The sequence below is a fragment of the Homo sapiens genome, chromosome 10, assembly GCF_000001405.40.
Source record: "Homo sapiens chromosome 10, GRCh38.p14 Primary Assembly".
NCBI lineage: Eukaryota > Metazoa > Chordata > Mammalia > Primates > Hominidae > Homo > Homo sapiens.
In genome coordinates, this window is record NC_000010.11 from 55898565 (window position 1) to 55916685 (window position 18121).

General features: G+C 37.2%; 2 annotated features.

Annotated features, from left to right (window-relative positions):
• Positions 729–1304: an enhancer, noted in NCBI's record as "H3K27ac hESC enhancer chr10:57659053-57659628 (GRCh37/hg19 assembly coordinates)". NCBI's record gives its function as "activates a minimal SCP1, AML or CMV promoter by ChIP-STARR-seq in naive H9 embryonic stem cells {active_cell/tissue: H9 hESC(naive)}" and the evidence as "EXISTENCE:reporter gene assay evidence [ECO:0000049][PMID:30033119]".
• Positions 1305–1879: an enhancer, noted in NCBI's record as "NANOG-H3K27ac hESC enhancer chr10:57659629-57660203 (GRCh37/hg19 assembly coordinates)". NCBI's record gives its function as "activates a minimal SCP1, AML or CMV promoter by ChIP-STARR-seq in naive H9 embryonic stem cells {active_cell/tissue: H9 hESC(naive)}" and the evidence as "EXISTENCE:reporter gene assay evidence [ECO:0000049][PMID:30033119]".

An 18121-nucleotide genomic window follows, 5' to 3' on the forward strand; every position in this document is an offset into this window, starting at 1 on the left:
TACTGCCAGATCCCTCCCACAACACGTGGGAATTCTGGAAGATATAATTCAAGTCGAGATTTGTGCAGGGGCACAGCCAAACCATATCAACCCCCTTTTGAAATTTTTAACAATTTTTTCTTTGAACCTGCACTTTGTAAGTGAATTCCATGAGAAAATAAAGCACGTGCATGAGTAGAGGGGATTTGATGTGTGGCTGTGTACACAGAGGCTCAGACCCTAGGCACAGAGGGCAATGAGCAACTTGTAAACAAAACAGTTACACTAGCTAGAAAGTTACAGAAAATAGCAAAGAAAACAATAAAATGCCATTTTATAAACTAATATTTAAAATTAAATTTACAATTACCCCAAAATAATTTATTTGAAGACTTAAATATTTTTAGAAAAAAAAAGTTCTATTAGTGTCATCATCTCCAGATATGCTAAAATATATATTTTAAGCTAATTTACCAGAACCTTATCCACAAATTTTTACATTCTATAAAATACACTTAAGAGTTACAGTACCAATTGCATTAGCATAAAAATCCTTTCCAAAATTAGAAATTATAAATATTATCTGGATCTTGCATTTGTCCAAAGAAACTGGCATCACTTTCAACTATACTGCTTAAAAATGAAATTGCTAAAGTATATATTTAGAAGACAAAGTAAATTGATTTGCAGAAAATTTAGTCCAAAGAATCATATAATCAATCAAATGTCACATTAACAGACCATTATTATTTATTGTTATAAAAGTTATGAATGACATAATTTTTTTGTCCTTTGTAATATGATTTTCTGTCATTATATTGTTACTTATATATTACTTTACCCCCATATCAAATTTTAAAGTAACAAAGTATTTTCACGAAATATTTTATATTTATCTAAACATTTTCCCCTGATTTTTAAACAAGAGTCCCACATTTTTATTTGTACTGGGTAATGCAAATTTTGTAGCTGGTTCTAGATATTTGATAAAACTTCTGGCATTATGTCTACACTGCAGCAAGGAAATAGTAAAAATGAAATAGCAAGAAAAAAAAGCCATATGTGATAAATATTTCTGTCTTAGAAATACCTTCTTTCGGGAGGAGCCAAGATGGCTGAATAGGAACAACTCCGGTCTACAGCTCCCAGCGTGAGCGATGCAGAAGACGGGTGATTTCTGCATTTCCATCTGAGGTACCGGGTTCATCTCACTAGGGAGTGCCAGACACTGGGCGCAGGTCAGTGGGTGCGCGCACCATGTGCGAGCTGAAGCAGGGCGAGGCATTGCCTCACTTGGGAAGCACAAGGGGTCAGGGAGCTCCCTTTCCTAGTCAAAGAAAGTGGTGACAGACAGCACCTGGAAAATCGGGTCACTCCCACCCGAATACTGCGCTTTTCCGACGGGCTTAAAAAATGGCGCACCAGGAGAATATATCCCGCACCTGGCTCGGAGGGTCCTACGCCCACGGAGTCTCGCTGATTGCTAGCTCAGCAGTCTGAGATCAAACTGCAAGGCGGCAGCGAGGCTGGGGGAGGGGCGCCTGTCATTGCCCAGGCTTGCTTAGGTAAACAAAGCAGCCAGGAAGCTCCAACTGGGTGGAGCCCACCACAGCTCAAGGAGGCCTGCCTGCCTCTGTAGGCTCCACCTCTGGGGGCAGGGCACAGACAAACAAAAACACAGCAGTAACCTCTGCAGACTTAAATGTCCCTGTCTGACAGCTTTGAAGAGAGCAGTGGTTCTCCCAGCACGCAGCTGGAGATCTGAGAACAGGCAGACTGCCTCCTCAAGTGGGTCCCTGACCCCTGACCCCCGAGCAGCCTAACTGGGAGGCACCCCCCAGCAGGGGCACACTGACACCTCACACAGCAGGGTACTCCAACAGACCTGCAGCTGAGGGTCCTGTCTGTTAGAAGGAAAACTAACAAACAGAAAGAACATCCACACCAAAAACCCATCTGTACATCACCATCATCAAAGACCAAAAGTAGATAAAACCACAAAGATGGGGAAAAAACAGAGCAGAAAAACTGGAAACTCTAAAAAGCAGAGCGCCTCTCCTCCTCCAAAGTAACGCAGTTCCTCACCAGCAACGGAACAAAGCTGGATGGAGAATGACTTTGACGAGCTGAGAGAAGAAGGCTTCAGATGATCAAATTACTCCGAGCTATGGGAGGAAATTCAAACCAAAGGCAAAGAAGTTGATAACTTTGAAAAAAGTTTAGAAGAATGTATAACTAGAATAACCAATACAGAGAAGTGCTTAAAGGAGCTGATGGAGCTGAAAACCAAGGCTCAAGAACTACATGAAGAATGCAGAAGCCTCAGAAGCTGATGCGATCAACTGGAAGAAACAGTATCAGCGATGGAAGATGAAGTGAATGAAATGAAGCGAGAAGGGAAGTTTAGAGAAAAAAGAATAAAAAGAAACGAGCAAAGCCTCCAAGAAATATGGGACTATGTGAAAAGACCAAATCTACGTCTGATTGGTGTACCTGAAAGTGATGGGGAGAATGGAACCAAGTTGGAAAACACTCTGCAGGATATTATCCAGGAGAACTTCCCCAATCTAGCAAGGCAGGCCAACGTTCAGATTCAGGAAATACAGAGAAAGCCACAAAGATACTCCTTGAGAAGAGCAACTCCAAGACACATAATTGTCAGATTCACAAAAGTTGAAATGAAGGAAAAAATGTTAAGGGCTGCCAGAGAGAAAGGTCGGGTTACCCACAAAGGAAGCCCATCAGACTAAAAGCGGATCTCTCGGCAGAAACTCTACAAGCCAGAAGAGAGTGGGGGCCAATATTCAACATTCTTAAAGAAAAGAATTTTCAACCCAGAATTTCATATCCAGCCAAACTAAGCTTCATAAGTGAAGGAGAAATAAAATACTTTACAGACAAGCAAATGCTGAGAGATTTTCTCACCAGCAGGCCTGCCCTAAAAGAGCTCCTGAAGGAAGCGCTAAACATGGAAAGGAACAACCAGTACCAGCCGCTGCAAAATCATTCCAAAATGTAAAGACCATCGAGACTAGGAAGAAACTGCATCAACTAACGAGCAAAATGACCAGCTAACATCATAATGACACATCAAATTCACACATAACAATATTAACTTTAAATGTAAATGGACTAAATGCTCCAATTAAAAGACACAGACTGGCAAATTGGATAAAGAGTCAAGACCCATCAGTGTGCTGTATTCAGGAAACCCATCTCACGGGCAGAGACACACATAGGCTCAAAATAAAAGGATGGAGGAAGATCTACCAAGCAAATGGAAAACAAAAAAAGGCAGGGGTTGCAATCCTAGTTTCTGATAAAACAGACTTTAAACCAACAAAGATCAAAAGAGACAAAGAAGGCCATTACATAATGGTAAAGGGATCAATTCAACAAGAAGAGCTAACTATCCTAAATATATATGCACCCAATACAGGAGCACCCAGATTCATAAAGCAAGTCCTCAGTGACCTACAAAGAGACTTAGACTCCCACACATTAATAATGGGAGACTTTAACACCCCACTGTCAACATTAGACAGATCAACAAGACAGAAAGTGCACAAGGATACCCAGCAATTGAACTCAGCTCTGCACCAAGCAGACCTAATAGACATCTACAGAACTCTCCACCCCAAATCAACAGAATATACATTTTTTTCAGCACCACACCACACCTATTCCAAAATGGACCACATACTTGGAAGTAAAGCTCTCCTCAGCAAATGTAAAAGAACAGAAATTATAACAAACTATCTCTCAGACCACAGTGCAATCAAACTAGAACTTAGGATTAAGAATCTCACTCAAAACCACTCAACTACATGGAAACTGAACAAACTGCTCCTGAATGACTACTGGGTGCATAACGAAATGAAGGCAGAAATAAAGATGTTCTTTGAAACCAACGAGAACAAAGACACAAAATACCAGAATCTCTGGGACACATTCAAAGCAGTGTGTGAGGGAAATTTATAGCACTAAATGCCCAAAAGAGAAAGCAGGAAAGATCCAAAATTGACACCCTAACATCACAATTAAAAGAACTAGAAAAGCAAGAGCAAACATATTCAAGAGCTAGCAGAAGGCAAGAAATAACTAAAATCAGAGCAGAACTGAAGGAAATAGAGACACAAAAAACCTTTCAAAAAATTAATGAATCCAGGAGCTGGTTTTTTGAAAGGATCAACAAAATTGATAGACCGCTAGCAAGACTAACAAAGAAAAAAAGAGAGAAGAATCAAATAGAAACAATAAAAAATGATAAAGGGGATATCACCACTGATCCCACAGAAATACAAACTACTATCAGAGAATACTACAAACAACTCTATGCAAATAAACTAGAAAATCTAGAAGAAATGGATAAATTCCTCGACACATACACTCTCCCAAGACTAAACCAGGAAGAAGTTGAATCTCTGAATAGACCAATAACAGGAGCTGAAATTGTGGCAATAATCAATAGCTTACCAACAAAAAAGAGTCCAGGACCAGATGGATTCACAGCCGAATTCTACCAGAAGTACAAGGAGGAACTGGTACCATTCCTTCTGAAGCTATTCCAATCAATAGAAAAAGAGGGAATCATCCTTAACTCATTTTATGAGGCCAGCATCATCCTCATAAATGTTGTATCATCCTGATACAAAAGCCGGGCAGAAACACAACCAAAAAAGAGAATTTTAGACCAATATCCTTGATGAACATTGATGCAAAACTCCTCAATAAAATACTGGCAAACCAAATCCAGCAGCACATCAAAAAGCTTATGCACCATGATCAAGTGGCCTTCATCCCTGGGATGCAAGGCTGGTTCAATATATGCAAATCAATAAATGTAAGCCAGCACAGAAACAGAACCAAAGACAAAAACAACATGATTGTCTCAATAGATGCAGAAAAGGCCTTTGACAAAATTCAACAGCCCTTCATGATAAAAACTCTCAATAAATTAGGTATTGATGGGACATATCTCAAAATAATAAGAGCTACCTATGACAAACCCACAGCCAATATCACACTGAATGTGCAAAAACTGGAAGCATTCCCTTTGAAAACTGGCACAAGACAGGGATGCCCTCTCTCACCACTCCTATTCAACATAGTGTTGGAAGTTCTGGCCAGGGCAATTAGGCAGGAGAAGGAAATAAAGGGTATTCAATTAGGAAAAGAGGAAGTCAAATTGTCCCTGTTTGCAGATGACATGATTGTATATCTAGAAAACCCCATCGTCTCAGCCCAAAATCTCCTTAAGCTGATAAGCAACTTCAGCAAAGTCTCAGGATACAAAATCAATGTACAAAAATCACAAGCATTCTTATACCCCAACAACAGACAAACAGAGAGCCAAATCATGAGTGAACTCCCATTCACAATTGCTTCAAAGAGAATAAAATACCTAGGAATCCAACTTACAAGGGATGTGAAGGAACTCTTCAAGGAGAACTACAAAACACTGCTCAAGGAAATAAAAGAGGATACGAACAAATGGAAGAACATTCCATGCTCATGGGTAGGAAGAATCAATATCATGAAAATGGCCATACTGCCCAGGGTAATTTACAGATTCAATGCCATCCCCATCAAGCTACCAATGACTTTCTTCACAGAATTGGAAAAAACTACTTTAAAGGTCATATGGAACCAAAACAGAGCCCACATCGCCAAGTCAATCCTAAGCCAAAAGAACAAAGCTGGAGGCATCACACTACCTGACTTCAAACTATACTACAAGCCTACAGTAACCAAAACAGCATGGTACTGGTACCAAAACAGAGATATAGATCAATGGAACAGAACAGAGCCCTCAGAAATAACACCACATATCTACAACTATCTGATCTTTGACAAACCTGAGAAAAACAAGCAATGGGGAAAGGATTCCCTATTTAATAAATGTTGCTGGGAAAACTGGCTAGCCATATGTAGAAAGCTGAAACTGGATCCCTTCCTTACACCTTATACAAAAATCAATTCAAGATGGATTAAAGACTTAAACATTAGACCTAAAACCATAAAAACCCTAGAAAAAACCTAGGCATTACCATTCAGGACATAGGCATGGGCAAGGACTTCATGTCTAAAACACCAAAAGCAATGGCAACAAAAGACAAAATTGACAAATGGGATCTAATTAAACTAAAGAGCTTCTGCACAGCAAAAGAAACTACCATCAGAGTGAACAGGCAACCTACAAAATGGGAGAAAATTTTCGCAACCTACTCATCTGACAAAGGGCTAATATCCAGAATCTACAATGAACTCAAACAAATTTACAAGAAAAAAACAAACAACCCCATCAAAAAGTGGGCGAAGGACATGAACAGACACTTCTCAAAAGAAGACATTTATGCAGCCAAAAAACACATGAAAAAATGCTCATCATCACTGCCCATCAGATAAATGCAAATCAAAACCACAATGAGATACCATCTCACACCAGTTAGAATGGCAATCATTAAAAAGTCAGGAAACAACAGGTGCTGGAAAGGATGTGGAGAAATAGGAACACTCTTACACTGCTGGTGGGACTGTAAACTAGTTCAACCATTGTGGAAGTCAGTGTGGCGATTCCTCAGGGATCTAGAACTGGAAATACCATTTGACCCAGCCATCCCATTACTGGGTATATACCCAAAGGATTATAAATCATGCTGCTATAAAGACACATGCACATGTATGTTTATTGTGGCACTATTCACAATAGCAAAGACTTGGAACCAACCCAAATGTCCAACAACAATAGACTGGATTAAGAAAATGTGGCACATATACACCATGGAATACTATGCAGCCATAAAAATGATGAGTTCATGTCCTTTGTAGGGACATGGATGAAATTGGAAATCATCATTCTCCATAAACTATCGCAAGAACAAAAAACCAAAGACCGCATATTCTCACTCATAGGTGGGAATTGAACAATGAGAACACATGGACACAGGAAGGGGAACATCACACTCTGGGGACTGTTGTGGGGTGGGGGGAGGTGGGGGGGATAGCATTGGGAGATACACCTAATGCTAGATGACGAGTTAGTGGGTGCAGTGCACCAGCATGGCACATGTATACATACGTAACTAACCTGCACATTGTGCACATGTACCCTAAAACTTAAAGTATAATAATAATAAATTAAAAAAAAAAAAAAGAAAAGAAATACCTTCTTGCCCAGATACCTCACCTGGTAGTTCTTACATCTTCTTGGCTGTAATTGCATTACATGCTCTCACAATTTCAATGAAATTTGTAAAGCAGAGCATTTTAAATTGGGTACATTGCCACTCTGAAAAAAAATCCTTTTTAGATTTCAGTTTAGAGGAAAAAGGGTGAATAAATATTAAGGTATCCCTAGGGTATTTTTCATTTTGTTGATGTTGAGGTCATACTTCTAGCTTTGTACCTTATCACAGTCAATATCCCCTTTTCTTAATACTTACTTTTTAATGCCTTTTCTATTATTCTGAAATAAAGTTCTGGAAGAATTTTATATGTTACACATATAACATAAAGATAAATTGGTATAATGGACAAAATCAACTCTAACCATAATCCTAAGGAGAAATAAGAGTAACTATTATATTAGAAGTCATAATATATTGGTAAATGATTATCTCTATATATGGAATTGTACCAAAGCAAAAGTTATACTAGCAATAAAAGTTGGTTACCCTCCATAGGCAACTGTATAGTCCATTTTTACATTGCTATAAAAAAATACCTGAGATTGGGTAATTTATAAAGAAAAGAAGTTTCATTGACTCTCAGTTTCACATGGCTGGGAAGGCCTCAAGAAACTTATAATCATGGCAGAAGTGGAAGGGGAAATAACACAAATGTTGCATGGTGGCAGGAGAGACAGTGATAGGGGAATGCCAGACACATTTAAACCGTCAGATCTTATGAGAACTCACTCACTATCATGAGAACAGCATGTGGGAACTGCCCCCATCAAGCAATTACCCCTACCAAGTCTCTCCATTGACACATGGGGATTACAATTTGAGATGAGATTTGGGTTGGAACACAGAGTCAAATTATGTCATTCTGACTCCTCCCCCTCCCAAATCTCATGTTCTTCTCACATTTCAAAATGCAATTATGCCTTCCCAACAGTCCCCCCAAATCTTAACTCATTCCAGCATTAACTCAAAAGTCCAAGTCCAAAGTCTTATCTGAGACAAGGTATGTCCTTATCACCTATAAGTCTGTAAAATAAAATAATAAAACAAGTTAGTTACTTCCAACATACAATGGGGGTACAGGCATTGGGTAATGTTCTTGTTCCATATATGAGAAATTGGCCAAAACAAAGAGGTCACAGGCCCCAAGGAAGTCTGAAAATTGGCAGGGCATTCATTAAATCTTAAAGCTTCAAAACAGTCTCCTTTGACTCCATGTCTCATATCTAGGGTATGCTGATGCAACGGGTGAGCTCCCATGGCCTTGAGCAGCTCTACCCTTATGGCTCTGCAGGGTACAGCCCCCAGAGCTACTTTCCTGAGCTGGTTTTTCAGGTGCACAGTGCAAGCTGTCAGTGGATTTACCATTCTGGGGTATGGAGGATGATGGCCGTCTTCTCACAGCTCCACTGGGCAGTGCCCCAGGGGGTTTCTGTGGTGGGGCTCCAACACCACATTTCTGCTCTGCATTGCTATTATAGAGGTTCTTCATGAGGGCTCTGCCCCTGCAGCAGACTTCTGCCTGGGCATCCAGATGTTTCTATATATCCCCTGAAATCTAGGCAGAAGTTCCCAAAGCTCAACCCACAGGCCCAACACCACATGGAATCCACCAAGTCTTGGGGCTTGCGTTCTCTGAAGCAACAGTCTGATCTGTACCTTGGCTCCTTTTAGCCACAGGTGGACCTGGAGAAGCTGGGATACAAGGAGCCATGTCCCAAGGCTGCACAGAGCAGCAAGGCCCTGGGCCCAGCCCACAGAACCATTTTTGCCTCCTAGGCCACCAGGTCTGTGATGGAAGGGGATAACTTGAAGATCTCTGAAATGCCCTGGAGATGTTTTCCCCATTGTTTTGATGATAAACATTGGGCCCCTTGTTATTTATGCAAATTTCTGAGCAGGCTTGAATTTCTCCCCAGAAAATGTGTTTTTCTTCTCTACCACATGGTCAGGCAGCAAATGCTTTAAATTTTTATGCTCTGCTTCCCTTGTAAACACAACTTCCAAATTCAGATAATCTCTGTGAATACATATGATCATATGCTTTTAGAAAGTTAGGCCACATCTTGAAGGCTTTGCTGCATAGAAATTTCTTCTGCCAGATACTCTAAACCATCTCTCTCAAGTTCAAAGTTCCACAGACCTCTAGGGCAGAGAAAAAATGCAGCCCGTCACTTCGCTAAAGCATAGCATGAGTGACCTTTGCTCCAGTTCCCAATAAATTATTTATCTCCATCTGAGACCACCTCAACCTGGATTTCACTGTTCATATCACTATCAGCATTTTGATCAAAATCATTCAACAAGTCCTTAAGAAGTTCCACACTTTCCCACATCTTCTTGCCTTTTTTTGAGGCTTCCTGTTTGAATCTGCCTGTTACCCAGTTCCAAAGTTGATTCCACATTTTCAGGTTATTTTTAAAGCAGTGCTGGACTCCTGGTACCAATTTTCTTATCAGTCCATTTTTACACTGCTATAAAGAATACCTTGGACTGGGTAACTTATAAAGAAAAGAGGTTTCATTGACTCGTAGTTCCTCATGGCTGGGATGGCCTCAGGAAACTTACAATTATGGCAGAAGATGAAGGGGAAATAAGACATGTTTTACACAGTGGCAGGAGAGAGAGAGAGAGAGAGAGAGAGAGAGAGAGATAAGTATCAGATCTCCTTAGAAGTCACTCACTATCATGAGAACAGCATTGGAGGAACCCTCCCAATGATCCAATTATCTCCTACCAGGTCACTCCCTTGACACGTGGGGATTACAATTTGAGATGAGATTTGACTGGAGGCACAGAGACAAACCATATCAGCCACTAAATATGATAAGAGGCATTGCTATTAGTGTGATTTTCTGAAATTAGACAATAAAGTTTAGTAAAAACTTCAAGAAAATAAATGGTTATTTTTCTCTTGATTTATACTGAAGTCAAATTCTTGTGGGGAAAAATTATACATTAAAGATATGCTATTAAAAAGTTTGATTCCAGATTCATATGAAAACAAATATGTTTTATGATATAGATATTATATAAGAATATTAAAATGTCTGCAGTTCTTGAACATATTCTTCCTTGTGCAGATTATTGAACACTTTGCAAGATGTCTAACATCCCTGGTGCCTACTCTCTAAATATTAGTAATGCTTCACAAGCTATCTGAGAGCCAAAACATCTCAAGAAATGCACCATAGAAAGGTCAAATCTTTCCCCCATTAACCATTTATTGAAATTTTTGTTTCATTTGGAAAACTAACTTTATTTAAAACTGGATTATTCTGTTTTATTATATCTCATTTCCAAAGCCTTGCCAGTGCCTACTTCTTCCCAGGTAAAATTTTTGCATAGTGCTACCAAAATATGCAGTTCTTCCAGTGTACTATGGCATTTCCTTTCTCTATACTGTCACTCGCATGGCATGCTTTGCATAGAAAGTCTTGATCCTATTCCATACATACCTATTCAGTTGTGAAATTAACATCAAAGAATATTTTCCTCCATCTCTTAACTTCTGAGCAGTTTCTTATGTTAGTAACCGCTGAATGCTTCTATCTAAACTCTTCAATGATGTGACATTGGCAAAGTTACGTGTTCTCTTTGAGTATCAATTCCCCAAATTGTAAATTAAGGATATACTAGTATATACATTCTATGATAACCACATTCCATTCTATGATTATCATAATTATTATTATTCAATAAGACTGCATAATATGTGTTGAGCACTGTACTTGCCTCATAATTTCTCAGTAAATGTTTATTATAATTATTATTGGACACAAAATTATTATTGGATCACAATATGTAATCAGTACTGGATTGCAGACATTCTCAACCTTAGTGTCTTTCTATAACAATTACAAGATACTTAAAGAGTTTAAAATTTACAACCAACATTTTCTTCATTTTATAGCAACTTGTAGGAACTCTGTAATTATTTCTTGAAGGAGTTAAATAAATGCATGTATTAATCCTTCACAACATGGGGTGGAGAAAGATTTGAATGTGAAATTTTGGAGATGCTATCTTCTCTTGAATTAATTTGTCTATGATACTATCTTGATGTCCAGAGTTAAAGTTAAAACCTAAATTAACATTGTCCACTACTACACTTCCAGCCCAAATATTGAAATTAAGGTATTGTAGATAGCCCTTATATGGAAAACTAATCAGGACTGGAAAATCCTCAGTTTATTGCCCCATGGAAACAACATTATTCTGCAGGATGTCAGAAGTAGTTTTAAAAAAGGAATAATGAAAATAGTTCAGGAAATACAAGTTAAATCAAGTTAAATGGAGTAATCTAACTTTCTTTATTGCAAACATTTTCAGAACTTTAATAAGATACAAGACATTAAAAGTCTCAAAGAGGAAGATATTTAAAATCGGGGATCCTAATAGTTTATCTACTATATTACTAAAAATGCTTTTTCTTTCTGTTTATAAATATCAGACAGCAACCTTAGGAAGGAATAATAAAAATTACTTCAACTGTTGGCACATGTTACGAGAGAGAACAAATTGATAGCCGTAAAAGAAATAATGTGCAGTTTTAAAAGCAAGTTAAAACTGTTGCTACCTTAGTATTGGCTGAGGTCACAAGATAATAGTCACCAACAATGCCCACAATCCAAAGGGAAGTGTGATATCATCACACCAGAATGTTCCAAAACTCACCTAAGAGTTGGTTTGCTAAACTTTAATGACCTCAAGCCTATGAAAGAGCTTGGAAAGACTGAGTTAACTAGAAATTACAAGACAAATTTTGGAAAGTCATGTCTTTATGTGGTGAATCCCATCCATCCCTGGAGAGATTAGAGTATATTTTCCCCGCTGCTCAAGCCTTGGGGAAAGGCCTTGGTAGGACCACTGGGTGAGATTTACATGTTTATCTTGGAATTTTGATGACACTGCGCATGGATGTCTGACTTATTTCAGTAAAACCAAAGCATGAAAGGCTGTAACTGACTGGCTGCTCTGACAGCATAGTAAAAGCATATCACTGCTTGGTGAAGGCTGCCACTCAGCATTCATCAGAACAAATAATGTTTATGTTGAATCTGGCCCACAGTCTTCTCAGCAGGGCCAGATGAGAGAGTAAACACAAGGGAAAGATGCTGGGAGTACTACATTGTATGTGTAAGTTTTGCAGGAGTTTTAAGTGTTTGGGCGTTGGATCTGCATTCAGCAACATTAAGGTAATGATGGTTTTCAACTAGATCATCAGCAATGATGGAAAGCTCTTATGAGAGCTACACATCATCTATCTATACATCATACAACGAACTATTACAGAGAAATTTTCAGATTTAACTCATGACCAGAAGAAGCAATAGACTACTACATTTTAAATACTGGAGGAACAGGAGAAACTCTAAGCAGGAAAACAGAACAGAAGCTTACCAATAGACTTTAGCACTTTTCCCAGTGCAGAAGCCAGGCTGAAGTATACCCAGCACAAGAGCAAGAAGAAAGTACAACTTAAAAGGTTCTATATTTTATTATTTGAATAAAATATTTTGAGGAGCATACAATAAATTTTAAAAATTTTATTCCATAAGATTTATCAGAAAAGTTGATGAGGATAGATTCAGATTTCAACCAAGATAGAAGAAAAAAATGTATCACACAGAGTGGCTTACAATGGGCAAAGGAAAGAAAATAATGAAGTTAATTTCTATTAATATCCAATGAGTCCCTCTTGTTCAATATACAAATTATATAATCTTTAAAATTTGGTAATATTTTAAATTCCCACTACTCCACTGTCATCATTTTGCTAATGAAAACACTAAGATGCAATAGGGTTAAGCACTTCCCCAAGCTATGTGGCTTTCAGTGATGAGTTAAGTTTAGAAAACAAGTCTCACAGTGCATGGTCCATTGTGACAGTAAAAAGAATGTGCCTTATAAAAGCTTTATGGTATGGCAATGTTCCAATGATTTTCTCTTATTGGCTCCCTTAACATCAGTTCCCAGCTACACCCCTGTCAGCTGAAGTCTCACTGCTATATTCTCTTATTTTTTCTCTGCCCCACATCATATGTTCCTGTAAAAAAATAAGTTATCCTAAAATAACCTAATATATGATGCCACAACTCTGTTAATGGCAGTTCCCTCTCTTATTCTTTAACACTTTTAATCAAAAATTTAAACATTGACAAACAAAGCGTTAGTCCAAAGAATAGTTTTGTAGTTTAATGGACCATTGTAGACATTGGGTGAATCTACCCAGATTGTCTCTATTTATTCACAATTGCATGTTTCAATTAAGCAAAAGACTAGTTGTGATTTTAAAGAAAGATAAAGAGAATTGCATTGAAAACTCATAGGTAATAAACTATTTAATTTTGAAGGATACATATATTAATGTCTATCCTTAGCCCATGTTGAATATCATTTATGTATTCCATATGGCTTGAGCTGCTATTGACTAGTTGAAAAAAAAATACCACGATCTAGTATTTATTTCATCTAATTAAATATTCAATAATTCTGTCTTTAGAATTTTTCCACTTATACTTGAAGCATATTTCTGTCATTGTTATTGTTTTGTGGTTTTTCTTTTCCTCTCCTTTTTTAAACTCAAGCATTTTTACATGTTCTTATTAAACCTTACAAGGCATATGCATATAACGTCACATCACTGCAGGTTTTAGTTGTAAGTTCTGAAACGGACATCTCTTATTCTGGAATTCATTTATTGATATTGAACATTAGCTAATCCACAGAATTTCCAAGTTATCTGGGGAGTCAGTGTTTTGAAAAAAAGCAAAAAACAGATGAACTATGCCTTAAGAGTAATTTTCAAATAATATCACAGGATAATTGTGGTGAGGCTGCTTCTTCCTCTACTCTTTAACACTAAACAATGTAATTCATACTATCAACACTTCCACCCCTCATATTAGCTGCACCTGCTAGCCTTGTGGCCACTGCTATCCTTTATTCACAGCAAATGACTAATGGATGCAGTGGCTCTTCTTATAAAGACAAGAACTCTAGAGGTTAACACAAGTTCTAGATTTCCTCTATCATAACTGCCTGTATTCTTATGGGTAAGTTATTTTACTTTTTTGGGTTTAAGTTTTTATATTTTTGAAGTCAAGATCACTTTCACTACCAATAAAAACTATAAAAGACAAAATATTAACTACGTGTGTGTACACACACACACACACATCTGCTTGAAGATATAGGAACGTGAAACAGCAGGTTGTATAGAAATTCTTGGCCAAGATACAGAAGATGGAAAGTTAGAGAGGTGAATACAATAATTAAAGTTGGATGCCTCAAGGGATAATTTCACTACTTTCAGAGATAGAGCAAAACTATTGACAACTTCACATGGTTAGAGAAGCGAATGTGAAAGTCCATGGCTCACTAAATGTGGGGCATTGGCAAATCTCTTGTACATTTAGTTGGGATTAAGTAATACACTAAAAGTAATTCATTATTTGAGTATTCTAGAGAAATTCAAATTCTGCAATTAAATTCACATGAGTCCAGATGATTGTTGATTTATTGTCTGCAAGTAACAGATGAAAATCCCTTTAAATTTTAAAGATGACAGTAAAGTATATTTAAAAATAAAAAAAATCAAGCTCATGCAGAAATACAGAAACACAGACCCATTCTCCCCACCCCACTCCAATCCAAACAACAATAAAACAGGTAAGACATGGGAAGATAGGCTAGGCGCTGTGGCTCACGCCTGTAATCACAGCACTTTGGGAGGCCAAGGCAGGTGGATCACGAGGTCAGGGGATTGAGACCATCCTGGCTAACATGGTGAAACCCCGTCTCTACTAAAAATACAAAAAAAAAAAAAAAAAAAAAAAAAAATTAGCCAGGCGTGGTGGCGGGTGCCTGTAGTTCCAGCTACTCGGGAGGCTGAGGCAGGAGAATGGTATGAACCTGGGAAGCGGAGCTTCCAGTGAGCCGAGATCGCTGCCACTGCACTCCAGCCTGGATGACTAAGCAACACTCCGTCTCAAAACAAAACAAAACAAAAAAAAGATATGGGAAGATAAAACACATGAATGATAACCAGAAAAAAATACATATCAATGAAGACTCCATATATCAGAATCCTATATGTTCTACATACTTAAAATAAATATATGTTTTATGATAAAGGAGATAAAAGTTATGTTTGAAAATTCCACTGGAGAAAAATCTACGTTCTGGTCGAAAAAAATACCAATAAATATTTTAAAAAGAAAGCCCATGACTCCCCTATGAACACTTGTGCTTCAGAAAGAGATGTTTCTGGAGAGAAATATCTAAGCAAATATTAACAAAAATACACAAAGATATATCACTGTTTCAAAGGCCAGATAATATGAAAATGGCTACTAGAAAATCTGTGTATAAAATCCAGAGCAAGAGCCTATTTTGAAGAGCTCTCTTTTGACCCACTAACCAAAAATGGTAAAGTATTCTATGGCTCACCATTGACGTGTGAACATGACATTATTTTATTCTATTGTCTTGATGAAAGTCATGGGTCTGTGCTTGCAGGTGGATTGCTACAGTGCCCTTGGGAACTAGCCATGGTAGCAAACAGTATATTTCCTTAGGAGATGGGCCTTGAAGCAGTTCTACCTGTGAACTCAAGAAGCCCATTTCTTTCCACTATAAGATATGGCATGACTTACGTCAGCTCCAAAGACTCAGTGTATTTGCTTCAAATGACTTTCAGGATATCACAATCAAGATGATGCCTACTTCAACCTGAATCATGACTATTATTCTTAACTAATAATAGTCTAATGACCCTGCTATCTTTCATCACAGAGTGCTGCTTGGCATATTCTTTAAGAGAAACTGGCTTGGTCATTAACTTTGATTATGAGACTAATCTTCTAGCACTTGATACATACACATAGAAACTTTGAAGCTTCAATTCTGAGTTTCAAAGTTATGTATGCATATGCACATATGCATACACATATTCATGATACATAACAATAACTTAAAGCTGATTCTTCTGTCGACCTACCTTCCTGCTTTAGTTTATATAAATGGCAGTTAATTATTTAAAAGTGTGTTATTTTAAATAAATAATTATATTCTTTCATTATAAAAAGCTATATTGCATAGCATGAATGAGTGTACTCAAAAACTCAACTTATTTTAATTTTAAGTACACTTAAAATAGTCTACTATTTCTGGTGTACATAGGACCTTTTAAATTAACAAGTAATTTTTAGACTTGCTATACAAAACCTCAGGTCATGTGTCTGTTTGTTTCCAAGTAAGAAATAAATGATGTTAAAGATAAAATGTCCTCATATAGATACACAAAATCAGTGATTGCCAGAAATCTGAAGTAAAAGTCATGAATAGTGAAGAGCCAAAAACAGCATATGATCCTTTAATCACCTCATTGTTAGTGTTTACAAAAAAGAACATTGCAAACCTATTATTTAAGTTTGTATTTCCCTTGCCACAACTTACTACCAAATAATCACTAAATGCTTTGCTCAGAGTAGTTTCCCACATACGTTCTTATTATTCTGCTGCTTCCTAGTTTGATGGAAATTTACATTCTGCCGTCTGTGCAAAGACACAGTCCCGGCATTACCACAGCTCTATGACCAAGTTGTCAAATAATTGGTTTGCCAACCACTAAGTCACATAAGGGAATAAAAATCTAAGAGCTTTATTCAATAAGACAAAATAACAAGGATTATAAGAAGTGTTCCAAAGCTATTATGTGTAGGTATTAAAAGTAATTTTTGTTCGGTGTGTGCTTTACACCTACACAATTATCAGACAAAAGTTTTTATAAGAAAATGATATTGTAGGTATTAAATCATTAAGATACATGAAAATATGTGGGTCCTAGAGCATTATTCAATAAGACAATGAAAAGAAGGACTGTAAAATCATCCCAAATATTTGATATGTTTCAGCTTAGAAAAGAATGTCTTAGGTGTTTTATATCAGCATTCCTGTTAACATTTCCCGATTAGCAACTTAACCATCCAAAGAACATTCAAAGTATAAATGTTTAACTTAATTATCCACCAAAGTTAACATATTATATTGTGCTTGAGAATATTTTCAAACCCAATATGATATGATTGTATCTTATCTACCTTACTGGACATATGCTGATCTTATTATAAAGTTTAGTTGAAAGGACAGATAAAATTAAAATCTATGGATATAATATATTAAAGCCAATAACTTTCTACCATATTCTATGAATAAAAATACATTTACTTAAATTAATGTCTCCTTTTTATCTTTTGGCAAAAAATTATTTTTAGGGAAAAATACCCAAATATAAGCAAATTCAAGAGTTTGATTTTGCCTTAAAAAGGTGATGATTTTGCTATTGTGAATAGCACCACAATGACAGAATCACCCTTAGCCAAAATTTCAGCACCACTCAGTATTCCCATGTGACAAACCTGCACATGTACCCCCTGAATCCAAAATAAAAGATAGGGTTTTAAAAAGGTAGTGTTTTGATTACTATTTTAATGTTAAGTTAGTGGTGCTTTTCAATTACTTGTACCAACCACCTAAATGACATCTATTAAGTATTATTCCTCTGTTGAATATACAAATGTGTTTACCATTTTCTCATGGGTTTAAGGATGATCCTGATGTTGTAAATTTTCTAGAGAAAAAATAAATATGATTAGGCCTATCTATGACCTGCAGGTTTCCAAATTCTATATTCACTGAGTACAAGGTATTTTTTATATTCTATCAGTGTCAGCGTTGAAACTCTATCAGAAAAACTGAAGTCCCAAAGGGATCCAAGCAGAAATAAATTATTATAAGGCAAAAGGTGTTTATAATCTTAGAGACATCAAGGTGACCCCCAGTATTTGATGCCTCCTCATGCTCACAACTTCTTTAATCCCTTCCACTTATGTGTGGGCCAAACCTGTGATTTACTTCTCACCAAAAGAATATTCCAAAGGTAATGAGAT